General features: G+C 49.4%; 1 protein-coding gene, 3 gene segments (V, D, J or C) and 1 further gene; all 5 read left to right on the top strand.

Annotated features, from left to right (window-relative positions):
* The window catches only part of IGL (immunoglobulin lambda locus), an 896,838-nt gene that overhangs the window by 860,401 nt on the left and 22,999 nt on the right, over nt 1-13,438 (top strand).
* Nucleotides 1,340-9,635, top strand: IGLL5 (immunoglobulin lambda like polypeptide 5). Of its 2 annotated transcripts, NM_001178126.2 has the most exons (3): nt 1,340-1,783; nt 7,224-7,342; nt 8,899-9,635. In NM_001178126.2, exons 1-3 carry the CDS (start codon nt 1,578-1,580, stop codon nt 9,216-9,218), a joined length of 645 nt encoding a protein of 214 aa, NP_001171597.1. In that variant the 5' UTR covers nt 1,340-1,577; the 3' UTR covers nt 9,219-9,635. The 2 variants fall into 2 exon arrangements, with proteins under 2 accessions (NP_001171597.1, NP_001243225.1); NM_001256296.2 differs by lacking the exon at nt 7,224-7,342.
* On the top strand, nt 7,305-7,342 carry IGLJ1 (immunoglobulin lambda joining 1). The segment is given in 1 exon segment: nt 7,305-7,342. A coding segment is annotated over 1 exon segment (38 nt).
* IGLC1 (immunoglobulin lambda constant 1) lies at nt 8,899-9,218 on the top strand. The segment is given in 1 exon segment: nt 8,899-9,218. A coding segment is annotated over 1 exon segment (320 nt).
* Nucleotides 13,142-13,179, top strand: IGLJ2 (immunoglobulin lambda joining 2). The segment is given in 1 exon segment: nt 13,142-13,179. A coding segment is annotated over 1 exon segment (38 nt).

The following is a 13,438-nucleotide window of genomic DNA, read 5'->3' on the forward strand; positions in this document are numbered from 1 at the left end:
TGTAATGTAAGGGGGCAGAGCAGGGGCCTTTCTCACCAGAGTATGGGGTCCTGAAGATCTCCTCAAACATTTTTATACTAGGCTCTCAGGGCAACAGAAAAGATGGGAGCGATGAATGGGGCGTAAAGGAGTGCAAATGACACAAGGGGTCACATGAAGCAAAAGAGGTTTATTCAACCAGATTTAGTCCATGTTTAATTGAGCCACTCCTTTGTGCCAAGCTCTGGGTTTTCCCATGCACCAAGCAGTGTGTTACCACCTAGACCCAGAGAGCCATGTCATCATCAGCAAAGCACGCCCTAGTGTCATGCAAGGACCAGGCCTCAGATTCCGACTCCAGACCTACTGCCTCTTGGCCCTGTGACATTAAAAGAGTAGGGAATCAGCCTGAGCAGCATTTCCTCATCTTCAAATGTGGAGGACAGTAGATGATCTTAGCTCCCAGGATTAGTGCTTGTAAAGCAATAATAATGTAATGCATTATTATTGTATTATGCATCATATTCCCATATTATAGTCAAAAAGGACCCCAACTTAAAGCACCTGCCAGCCCTCTCCTCCTCCACCACTGCCGAATGGAGCCAGGCACGAGTATTCCAGGTGGACAGACGAATAGAAATACAGGGGACGAGCCCCTTCCTAGATCCTAGCGCAGCTTGCTCCCTACTTAAGGAATGATATTGGACCCTGCATTCATCTTCTCTGGATGGTAATTTTCTCACCTGTAAAACAGAGACACTGGCCCCAAGGACACCCCACAAGTAGTTGTGAATCCCAAAGTAAGAGAAGAACAAAAAAAGAACCAGAATTTATTCAACACCCACTGAGTGCTTAGCAAACACATGGTTTCTTTAACTCTCATAAGCTTCATGCTGCAGAGGAACTCTCCCCATTTTACAGATAAGGAAACTGAGGCCCAGAGGTAACCTAGGTCTAGATAGACTCCACATTTATGACTTCACCACTCTTCCTTGCCTGAAGGATATAGAATCACTCCCTGCAGGGCTCTTGCCTGACTCAGGAAAGGGCCACAGGATAGCCAGCCAGGCTTAACCAACCCAGCCAAGAAAGGGCTGGTCCCAACTGGCTGGAGTGCAGTGTACAGGCACCCAGCCTGGAAGACTGATCAGAAAAGAAGCCACAGCTCCAGCCCCAGCCCCAACCCCCTGAGCTCAAGCCCTTGGGGACTCCTGCTGGGCAGCTCTCTAGGCCCTAGGGAGATGCTCCACAGACCCAGGCTGCCCTTTGGGAAGTGGGGAAGACAAGTGGGTCAGGTGTGCACCACCCAGGGGCGGGGCCAGGCAGCCGGCTGTGGTGGGAGGCAGTTGAGCCCTGGATTGTGACCGCTTCAGGGCAGTTGGTAGATGCCCCTCTGGGAGAGATCCCCAGGGGTGACAGCCATGGACCCTGGAAGGGCCTGGGCTAGGGACAGGGACCAGAGCCAGTCCAGGGAGAGGACAGAGCCAATGGACTGGGGTGTACTGTAACAGCCCTGCTGGCGAGAGGGACCAGGGCACCGTCCTCCAGGGAGCCCATGCTGCAAGTCGGGCCAGAGGTGCCCCTGAACCTGAAGGCCAATGAGACCCAAGACAGGCCAAGTGGGTTGTGAGACCCCTGAGGAGCTGGGCCCTGGTCCCAGGCAGCGCTGGCCCCTGCTGCTGCTGGGTCTGGCCATGGTCGCCCATGGCCTGCTGCGCCCAATGGTTGCACCGCAAAGCGGGGACCCAGACCCTGGAGCCTCAGTTGGAAGCAGCCGATCCAGCCTGCGGAGCCTGTGGGGCAGGTAAGGGGCAAGAGATTCCAGGGGATGTGGGGGTCCTGCAGCAGAGCTGGGAAAGGGTGACCAAGGGGAGACAAGCCAGAGGAGTGAGGAGGAAGGTTAACCCCTAAGAGGGGCCTGGGCTGACACTGGCTTTAGTAATGGGTTGATATTTTGTCCATCACAGATTTGTTTGAATTACTGTTTTTAATATCATATTACGATATTATTTTTCTTGATTTCTGAGTTTTCTGGCGCCACTTAAATTTTCACCAGGGTCAGTGCCTCAATCACCTAGTCCTAGTCCTCTGGGTAGGGAAGGAACAGAGGCAGGGACAGGACATCCACAGGGGGTGGTGGCCACTGTCCCCACAGGGTGCCCAGGCCTGTTCCTCCCCCTCCTCCTCTCTGCCCATGTGCCTCCTGCCCAGTGAGGGCAGGGGCCACTCCCTGGAGAAGGCAGCAAGGGCTTGGTTTGGTCTCCCCCAAGGCTGTCTGTTCACCAACTTGCACATAAATGCTTACTGGGGCCAGGCTCAAGGACACAGGGAGGGTGGGATGAACCGAGGGGAGCTGTCCAGTCATTGGAACAGGCCCACGGCCCATGTTTGGAGCAATAAAGGGAGAGGGGATCTCCCTCTGGGATGATGCCCAGGCTGGTCTCACAGATCGAGGGGCACTGGCTGGTGATGGGTGCCCCCAAAAGACAGAGCAGCGTCAGAGGAGAGGAGAGCACAGGATGAGGCTGGGAGCTCCTGGGTGACTGGGAAGGGGAGGCAAGAAGACCATAGGGTCCGTGCACCATTCCCAGTCCAGGACGAGTCCTTGGATGGATTTAGGTAGATTGATTATCAGAGTCAGATTTGTGTTTTTGGAAAAATCAGCACCGGATTGGAGGCTGATGCGACGCCCGATTAGAGGAGGGAGGAGAGGGGGTGATGGCCAAGTCCAGGGTAGGTGGGGATCCTGGAGGAAGCCGTGCCTTGGGGATGGGGAGGACACTCAGATTCAGAGCACCCAGGGGCCCAGTTTCCTATGAAATGGGAGCATGAAGTTGAAGTGAGGGCTGAGCAGAGGGGAGCAGACACGCTCGGGGACTGTCTATGGGCATTAAAAATGTATAACCATTTTAGCAACAGGCGGCGAGTCAAAAAACAAAGTGTGTTTATCTAAACTGGGCAATTCCACTTCTAGGAATTTATCCTAAGGGTTGGTTGGGGGAATAATCAAAGCTGTAACCAAATCTTTATAACAAGGGTGGTTAGCTCAGCATTATTAGTGATGGGAGAAAACTGGAAAAAATCCAAATATCTACCAGAAAGGGTGTGAAAAAACACAATTGTATTTGGGGGACTGTTGTTGTTTTTGTTTTGAAACAGTCTTGATCTGTTGCTCAGGCTGGAGTACAGTGGCGTGGCCACAGCTCACTGCAGCCTCAACCTCCAGGGCTCAAAAGATCCTCCAGCCTCAGCCTCCTGAGTAGCTAGGACTACAGATGCAGGCCACTACACCTGGCTAATTTTGATTAGGATTATTATTAGTTTAGAGACAGAGCCTCGCTATATTGCTCAGGCCTGTCTCAAATTCCTAAGCTCAAGCAATCTTTCTGCCTCAGTTTCCCACGTGCTGGAATTACAGGCGTGAGCCACTGCACCTGACCCAACTGTGTTTTTAAAGTATATATGCATTTTCAAAAACCTGTCAGAAAATATAGAAAAATGTCAATGGTGTGTCTGGCTGGCTGATGGGATTTCACCTAATTTTAATGTGGCTTTATAATTTTCTGGTTTTGTGAAGTTGTTCACAAAAAGAGACATTTCTTCTAATATAATTTTTAATACAACAGTAATGTACTCATGTGCATTACTCTTTTTGTAATGAGTATATTACAAAATGTAATGACTTTTGTACATTACTCTTTTTTCTTGCCAAAAAAAAAAAAGATTAAGCAGAGAAGTATATAAAGTAAAAGCAAGTGCTTCTGCTTACCATCTCTCACCTCTTCCCAGAGATAGCCACTGTCAGGTTGGTCAATATACTTCCAGAACTTTTCCTGTGTGTGTGTGTGTCCCTGAAAACACACACACACACACACACACACACACACACAGTTGGTGCTGGGATTTTATTTTGCAAAAGTAAGAGCCATATTCTGCATATTACCAACTTTTAATCTATTATTGACACTTTCTGTATCAGTCCATATGGATTAACCACATTCATTGCTTATAAACTTTGTTTTATAAGCAAAGTTTAGATGAGCCAGAATTTATTTCCACTAAAAAATCTAAATGACAAATGATGCTGCAGTGGAAATTTGTGTGTGTGTGTGTGTGTGTGTGTGTGTGTGTGTGTGTGTGTGTGTATGTGTACAAAGTGCACTTATATATCTCCCCAGGATAGATGCCTAAAAGTGGAATTGCTGGATCAGAGAGAATGTACTTTTGAAATCTTATAGGTAGTGTTTCCAAAAGTCTGTGTCCACTCACTCCGGTGAATGGTAGTGCCTTCGCTCCTACATTCTTACCAATAATGCAAAATTGTTGATCTTTTTATATTCTGCCCATCTGATGAGCAAAAAATTGAATGTGTTTATGGTTTTATTGTGTATTTTATTACTGGTGAAATTATTTTTTATATTTTTATTTATTGGTTTTATTTCGTCTGTGAATTAACTGGTCATCATGTTGCCCGCCTTTCCATTCAGTTGCTTTCATCTTTTTATATATCAATAACATATTGGGATATATTTGGGATTTTAACCACTTGTTTAGTGTATGTATTGTAAATATTTTTCCCTGGTCTGTTTTACGGGTCTTTTGTTTATGGGGTCTCCCACCATAAAACTGTGGTAAATTTTTATGTGTCGAACTGGTTTAATCTTTTCTTTATGGTTTCTGTGACCTCCACCATGTGTAGGAAGTTGTCTTTATTTCAATATTATAAACTCATTTTTCTGTTTTATTCTGGTACTTTTGGTGTATTGGTGTTTTATTTTTTTTTCTTTACTTCCCCTGGAGTTTATTTTTGTGGATGTAGGAATAAGACCTTATTTTCCAAATAGGAAAGCCAATCATCACACATTTGTTGAATATAAATGCAACTTTTCTCAATTACTACATTACTGATTTATTACATTCTTTCTGTGGTTCTCTTGGTTTATTGAGCTATTCCTGCGCCCACCCTGTTTTGATTATTTTAGCTTTATGGTATGTTCGGTAACTGGTAGGGAAAGAACCCGTCATTGTTACTTTTTCTCAAAATAGTCATGTCTATTATCTGTCATTCTTAGAGTTGGACTGCAGAATTGGTTCTCTAATTTTCAAAAATCATTCTTGTGTTATGTGGTAATATCACAGAATATGGGATTAATTTGAGAACTGCTATCTTTATAATGCTCAGTGTTTTTGTTCAGAGACATGATGTACTCTCCATTCACTCAGATAAGTGGTTTAATATTTTATTCATGCAAATCTTGCACACTTTGTTTTTTATTCATAAAGGGTTTGTAAATATAATTTTATTGAAGTTATAAATTTTTTCACAATTTTATATCGTAAATGATTACTGTTTCTATAGCAAGGAACCCTATTAACTTTTCTATGTTGCTCTTGTATCCAGACACTTTAACTCTTGTATTAATTCCAGCAGTTCTTCAGCTGATTCTCCGTGTGTGTGTGTGTGTTTGTGTGTTTAGTTAACTATCACACCATTTGCCAAGAACAATTTTCTCTCTTTTTCTGTAATATTTATACCTCCTTCTCTCCCCCTTTTATGTCATTTCATTGGCTGGAATCTATACAATATGCTGAATAATAAAAGTGAGACTAGACAACCTTGCCTTGTTTCTGATTCTTTAAATGTTTTGCCTTTAAATATGAAGGTTGCTGTAAATTTGGGGAGATATTCTTCACTGAGTTAAGAAAATTTTCTTCAGTAACTTAATAAAAGGCTAAATGTTTGCTTTCTTTATATGAGAAACAAGTGTTGAATTTATATTACTATTATATTAAATTCTGTTTCAAAAATCTTCTGCACATGTCTTAAATACAAATGTATTAAATACAAGCTGCTGCTAAGATGAAAGTTGCTGGCCCCATCACAATGGGTATCTTCCAATGTGAATAAATTGCCTTGGGGAATAAAATCAGATTTGGAAAAACCTGAGGATGGTTGCCATCATAAACTCTTAGAGTGTGACCTGGGTGTTTTTCTTTTTCTCTGTAGGATGTTAATAGTATCTTGTGTCATGCTAGGATGTCTAGGACAGAGGGCAATACAATGAGGGGAAGGCATTCTGCGATGTCCCCAGGCCTCTGGCTTGAAGAGTAACTTGCTGAAGTGAGGACTCTGTGGAGGAGCAAGTTATACAGAAAGAAGTTTAGTTGTGATCTGTTGAGTTGGAGGTGTCTACAGGGCATCCAAGCAGACATAGGTTGAGGAGGCAGAATATATGTGAATCTGGAGCCAAGAAGAGAGGTAAGGGCTGGAAATAGGGATCTAAGACCCCTGGACAGTTGTGAGTGTGCACAATGAGGGTCAGATGCAGAGAAAATTAGGAGACTACAGAGAGCAGAACCCAGGGTGGGGATCTGGGAGTCAGCAGTTGGGCATGGGCCTGGTAGAAAGGGAAGCCAAGGAGGAGGAGAGGGGGCAGTCTCAGACACCAAGGAGGGGAGAGTGACTAGAAAGAAAACCTTCTTGCAGAGACATAGGGGATGGGGAAGAACTGCAGACTGAACTGGGGCAAAGGACTGTTGGCCTTAACCAGAGAGATTTGAGGGAGAGATGAGGCTGAGAGCCAGGGGATCCTGCCATGTCCCAGCATAAAAACAGTACCTGACACAGATGGGTGCTTGGGAGCTGTTGTCGGATGAATGAGTGGACAGATGCATGGATGGACGGATGGATGGAAGGATGATAGATTGATGGACAAACAGATGAACAGATGAATAGCTGGATGGACAACTGGATGGATGGGTAGACAGAATGATCTCAGAGATCAGAAAAAGCTTCATGCACTAAGTGGGACTGAACCGCGTCTCCATGGGTAGAAAGCAGAGGAATCTCCACTTGAGTCAGGAATGACCCAGTGCTCTCAATCCAGGGAGAAAGCCAGCCTGGCTTCACTGGGGACACTTGTGTGGGGGACTCAGAGGCCCTTTAAATGAGGCCAGACGAGGTTGGACAGGTCCAAGCCAACTCAGCACTCCTCTGCCACACTGCACAGGAGGGGATGTGTCACTCAGGGAGTTGCTGGGACCTATGGGTCCCAGTGTTGTCATCAGCACCGACAGCCTCAGAGAGGAAAGACACACACTGGGGTAACTCCAAGGCTGTGTGTGGCACTTGCCTTGGACAGCAGACAGGCACAGGGACACCTCTAGGGGGCTGGCCACCCCCCTGCCTCATGTCTAGGTCCCAGCCCCGCCCACTGCAACCCTGTGCCCGTCATGCCCAGCAGGCTCCTGCTCCAGCCCAGCCCCCAGAGAGCAGACCCCAGGTGCTGGCCCCGGGGGTTTTGGTCTGAGCCTCAGTCACTGTGTTATGTCTTCGGAACTGGGACCAAGGTCACCGTCCTAGGTAAGTGGCTCTCAACCTTTCCCAGCCTGTCTCACCCTCTGCTGTCCCTGGAAAATCTGTTTTCTCTCTCTGGGGCTTCCTCCCCTCTGTCCTCCCAGCCTTAAGCACTGACCCTTACCTTTCTCCATGGGGCCTGGAGGAGGTGCATTAGTCTCCGGGTAACCGGCAGGAAGGGCCTCCACAGTGGGAGCAGCCGGATGCAGCCTGGTCCCGGGGCCTGAGCTGGGATTGGGCAGGGTCAGGGCTCCTCCTCTCTTCCAGGGCAGATGTCTGAGTGAGGGACAGAGGCTGGTTCTGATGAGGGGCCCTGCAGTGTCCTTAGGGACATTGCCCAGTGACTCCTGGGGTCAAGGACAGAGGCTGCTGGGGTGGGCCTGGGAGCTGCTGAGTCTCATAGTCTAGGGGAGCAGCCCCAAGAACAGCTGAGGGTCTAGGCTGAGGACTGGATGCCAATCCAGCCTGGGAGGGCCACACGGCCTGGTGACACAGAGGTCACCCCAAGGGGAGACCAATGGAGGGCACAGAGAGGGCTCTGGGTCTAGGCTGCAGCTCTGTGGCCTGTGCTGGGTCATGAGGACATGGGGACACAGAGGGACGGGTGAGACTGGGTGAGGTGCCAGAATCCAACCCTCCCAGGACAGTCACCAGAAAGGAGACAGTCTCTTAGGGCAGAGATGTGTCTGTCCCTGGAGCCCCGTCACCTCTGGGGCCCAGTGTCTCTCTGTTCACGGATCGGCCTCCTGCCTTCCTCAAAGGGCATGTTAGACTCAGGAAATGACCAGAGGGGAGTGAATGAGGGGTGCAGAGAACTCCATGGCTACCAGGTGAAGTTTGGGGTCATCACAGGCTGCTGGGGTGGGCCTGGGGGCTGCTGAGTCTCATAGTCTGTGGGAGCAGCCCCAGGAACAGCTGAGGTGAAGGGTTCTGTGGTCGGGCTTGTGGAGACAGGAAACATCTCAGAGCCTCAGAGGAGCCCTGAGGCTTGTCTAGGTGGAGCCCACTCCTTGCCAGGAGAGCCAAGTGGGCTGGGCTGGGGCAGAGCCCGGTGCCTGTGAGGGATAGGAAGCTCCAGTTCAAAGCAGGCTTGGGTCTCCCCACACACTGCCTGCCAGGACAGTCCTACAGGATGAGCAGGGGACCCACAGTTCACGGAGGAGGCTCTAGGTCCTGGAAGAATAAAGTGGGTGATGGAGGGGGGTATAGGGATGGAAATGAGGGATCCAGGGGTCAAGGCCAGATTCTAAACTCAGACTCCAGAGATCAGAGAAGAAGGAACACAGCCTGCCCTGGGTATATGGAGAAATTGAGGCTGTAGAGGAGAGGGGCTGGGCCAGGACACCTGTGAAAGGTGACTTGGGAGGGCTCCTAGGAAGGCACAGAGCTGTCTGCTCTCCACAGGGCATGAGTGGAAAGGATGGGGAAAGAAGAGGAGAGAACCCCGGGTGGACCGGATGGCCACACTGTGAACCCTCCCAGAGACTTTAGACAGAGAGAGGGGCTCCACAACACCCCGGTATTCTGTCTGCCCTCTCTCACCCCCTTCCCTGTCCACACAGGTCAGCCCAAGGCCAACCCCACTGTCACTCTGTTCCCGCCCTCCTCTGAGGAGCTCCAAGCCAACAAGGCCACACTAGTGTGTCTGATCAGTGACTTCTACCCGGGAGCTGTGACAGTGGCCTGGAAGGCAGATGGCAGCCCCGTCAAGGCGGGAGTGGAGACCACCAAACCCTCCAAACAGAGCAACAACAAGTACGCGGCCAGCAGCTACCTGAGCCTGACGCCCGAGCAGTGGAAGTCCCACAGAAGCTACAGCTGCCAGGTCACGCATGAAGGGAGCACCGTGGAGAAGACAGTGGCCCCTACAGAATGTTCATAGGTTCCCAACTCTAACCCCACCCACGGGAGCCTGGAGCTGCAGGATCCCAGGGGAGGGGTCTCTCTCCCCATCCCAAGTCATCCAGCCCTTCTCCCTGCACTCATGAAACCCCAATAAATATCCTCATTGACAACCAGAAATCTTGTTTTATCTCATTTTTTTTCTCACATAAATTGCTAGCCTCCCCGGGGTTCTCAGTGTGGGGTACAGGGAATTCTGCACCCAGTGTGAAAATCACCCAAGGGAGGAGGCTCACAGCCTCCCTGAGTCATCTCCCCAGAGGGTCCTTCCTCTCCCAGTCACCCCTTCTCCAACTCTCCACTGTACCCCTGAGCTACCAGTCTGGCATCAGTTCAGACCAGTCCCACACCCTCCTAAATTTTACTTCTCAATAAATACCTGATCATGTAAAACGCAGCATTTCTAATGTGCAGTCTCTGTCTGGTCATGTGTCTGGGCTGAAGGGTCACTGCTCAGGGACAGGGGGCAGTTCCAGGTGAGATCCCATGTCTCCGTCATCCCACACCCCACCCAACCTGCCAGGGAACCGGGTGAGCTCCCTGTGCCAGTGGGAACTGCAATCCAAGGCACAAAATTGTCCTGCAGTCCTTGCCCACCTGGGAAGGGACAGGGGCCCAGTGAGAGGTTTGCTGGCGCCCTGTGGGGAGATTCAGGAGAAATGAAGGGGGTCCCCGGAGACCAGATGAGGGCTAGAGGCAGAAATAATGGAAAAAGGACACCCTTGACTCAAGGCCACGGTCTCAGCAGGAACAGAAGGTGAAATTCCCCATTGCATACGAGGAACCAGTCAGGAGAGTGTTTACTGGGTGAGGGATAAATAACTGTGCTGCCACTGGGAACTTGTAAAAACATTGGGAAAGGAAACATGCAAGTGTCTTTCTAAGACTTGTACAATGGACATTGGCTAAGTAAACATACTGACAAGTCCTGCACTAGGGAACCAGTTTAATATGATGAGCCACAGCATATCCAAAAGCATGTTGATCTCCTTCTTCACCTTTAGAAGACCCAAAACACTCTGAAAGATACCAGCGTTTCCTGGAACTAGTTTGTGGAATATGGGGTGAGGTTGATGCACATGATGTTACGGGTATATGATCACATGGCTGTGGGTTGGGGATCAGGCTCAAAGTTAACACTAGCGTGGGGCTGGATGTCAAGCATGAAGGGTGTGGACCACTAAGTCAGGCCCAGGTAGAGTTAATTTCTGATTGGTTTGTGGCTGGAGCTTGATGATGGTCAGTCTGCAGGAGCAGGAGGATGTGGGGAAATTGGGAAAATGAGAAAAGTCACAAATCCAAGCTCAAACTCTGCATCTATTGATTGCCTGGGGGAGGCTAATCAGAGTTGAATTCAGGATGAGCTTCAGGGCTGGGTCAGACTGAATAAGAGCTGAGTGAATGTGGGCTGATGGCTCCAGGCAAGTCCTGGCCTCCACTAGGAGTCAGATCCCACAAACCCTCCTGCCCGCAGAGCACCCTCTCCCTCCGTAGCTCATGGTGGCGCAGCCTCCCCACCCCATCCCATGTACACCTGCTGCCTCATCTCAGAGACACTCATTCCAGTGTCTCTGACAGCAGATGATGTCAGCCTCCTGGGTGTGGAGACCCCAGCTGTCTTGGAGAGTCCTCAGTGCCTGGGTACTCTCAGACCCCCTGTCTCTGCCTCCAGCACATCAGAGACATAGCAGCTGCCTCCACCAGAGCTGCTGGGTGATCCCAACAGGCCAGGGACAGAGCCTGCAAAGACAGGAATCTCTGCAGTCACAATGAGGCAAAGAAAGAGCCCCTTAGAGCTTGATCACAGCCACCCCTGATCCAAATCCCAGCCTCTCATTAGAAGGAGGCTTGAGGGTTCTGTTGCCACAGCACCTGTCTGAGCCCATTTCATGGAGGGGAAAACTGAGATGACCAAGGGCCAGATCCATAGTCCTGCTGGGCACAAGGCCATCCCCAGCAGCTGCCTAATCTTTGACTGTGTTATAAGTTTCCATTATGGAAAACTTTGAACACATACATAAGGAGACAGAGAAATAATAATGCCCCCAAGTTCCCATCACCCAGCCCCCCCAATAAGCAATTCACAGACATTACTGACCCACCCATAGCAGAATAACCCCTCCATTACACAATACCAGACATCACATCTTTTCAGCTGTAAATATCCCATTTCTATGCTGGAAAGATATGGGCTTAAAAGTAACTGCAATATTATTACCAAACCTAAATAGAAATTATCACTAATTCCCTAATATCAAGAAATAATCACGGGCTCCTCAAATCCCTCACAAATGCCAGAAGCGTATTGACTTAGTTAAGTGTTGGTGCTGTGGTTATTTTGGGGTTTTGGGTGGTTTATTTCAGAATTCAATATGGCATCAAATGGTGATGGGCGCATGTGCTGTCAGGCCAGTTGTCACTGGTGAATATTTCCTCAATTGCTCTAGTGCTGCCTGGCAAGGCAGGAGCTGCAGGAGTTGAGAGCTGTCCGGGGACCTTCCCACGGTTGGAATACAGCCACACCTCCCAAAACAAGAACCCAGGGCTATCATCTACTTCTTTTTTTTTTCCCCTGCAAAATGGTTCTAGCATGGAGGGACTTAACTGGATTCAGACTAGACATTGCAAAATAGCTTCCAAGGACAGGGAGCTGCTAACAGCGAGATCACCCATGTCAGATTCTCACTCTTGTAGTAATGTTAGCTGCATAGGATGGTCAATAGCTACATCCCTCAGAAGGGAAGGAAGGCAGAGGGATGAGGCTTCAGTTCACCTCCTTCTCATGAGTGCTGCAGAGCATCTGTGAATTCAGAGGTCTGCAGCTGGGCTCTGTTCACCCAGGAGTGTGCTTCATGCTCTAGGAAGGAGCCACTTTGCACACAGATGATCCGGGGCCCAGCCATCCTTCCAGGGTGAATAATTAATGTCTTCTCTCATGGTGAACTCTAGGATTCAAGCCATCTAATGTTTTTGAAGCCACTGTCATTATATTTAATTGATGATGACAGGTGGCCACCAATGATGAATATTTTCCCAGGGGGAGTCTCCCTAAGTGGCTTTAGACTTCCTCACATGGCCCCAGGGGATTAAATGGCTCCTGATTACTCAGAGGATAAGAGGTTCTGTCTTATCATGTTCCTTTCTTATTTGTCTTATGTGTCTTTCCTGCCCCAGGCCTGGGATCCCCCACTGATCTCCCTTCCCTTAGTGAGAGGTGGTATTTGGAGACCACATTCTGGAGGCTCCCTTATGTCCCCCATTTGAAAAAGACAACGGCAGCCACCACCCCAGCTGTCCCACCCAACATGAGGCCAGATTCGGGGTGCAGGGATGCTCCCAAGGTTACCCTAACAGATGTGACTGGCACTTCATATTGGGACCAGCCAGGCCTCACTGACCAGGCCTATCCAACTAGAACTACTCCAGAAGGTGGGGCTGAAACCCACCAAGGTTCCCAGAACACTGCACTCTAGGGCAATCAGCCTCTGCATGGGAGGAGAGGGGCACCCTCTGCACCACCCCATGGTGTTACCAAAAGTTGAACCATGGGTTGGTTCAACTTTGCAGAGAAGAGACCACCTAACCCATCTGTGGAAATTCACTCCTTAGCGATACTGATGCTCCCTAAGAAATTCAATCCTGGGCCTGAGTGATGGTTGGTGCAAAAAACAAATTCAAGATCCCAGTGTCCTCCAGAAGCCTGGATTTCCAGGGATCCTGCTGTGAGTCACAGGACGTCACCGGTCCCCTTCTCTTTGTGGGTTGAGTGTGGGGGCCATGTGGACTCCCTCATGAGCAGATGCCACCAGGGCCACTGGCCCCAGCTTCCTCCTTCACAGCTGCAGTGGGGGCTGGGGCTGGGGCATCCCAGGGAGGGTTTTTGTATGAGCCTGTGTCACAGTGTGTGGTATTCGGCGGAGGGACCAAGCTGACCGTCCTAGGTGAGTCTCTTCTCCCCTCTCCTTCCCCGCTCTTGGGACAATTTCTGCTGTTTTTGTTTGTTTCTGTATCTTGTCTCAACTTGTGGTCAGCCTTTCTCCCTGCATCCCAGGCCTGAGCAAGGACCTCTGCCCTCCCTGTTCAGACCCTTGCTTGCCTCAGCAGGTCACTACAACCACTTCACCTCTGACCACAGGGGCAGGGGACTAGATAGAATGACCTACTGAGCCTCGTCTGTCTGTCTGTCTGTCTGTCTCTCTG

The sequence above is a fragment of the Homo sapiens genome, chromosome 22 (assembly GCF_000001405.40).
Source record: "Homo sapiens chromosome 22, GRCh38.p14 Primary Assembly".
Classification (NCBI taxonomy): domain Eukaryota; kingdom Metazoa; phylum Chordata; class Mammalia; order Primates; family Hominidae; genus Homo; species Homo sapiens.

What these genes read in the sequence shown, in the direction of transcription:
- IGLL5 (NM_001178126.2), top strand. Translation starts at nt 1,578, where the DNA reads ATGAGACCCAAGACAGGCCAAGTGGGTTGTGAGACCCCTGAGGAGCTG. An exon ending in CTGCGGAGCCTGTGGGGCAG is followed by an intron (nt 1,784 to 7,223) that starts GTAAGGGGCAAG and finishes CATGCCCAGCAG; the next exon opens with GCTCCTGCTCCAGCCCAGCC. An exon ending in GACCAAGGTCACCGTCCTAG is followed by an intron (nt 7,343 to 8,898) that starts GTAAGTGGCTCT and finishes CTGTCCACACAG; the next exon opens with GTCAGCCCAAGGCCAACCCC.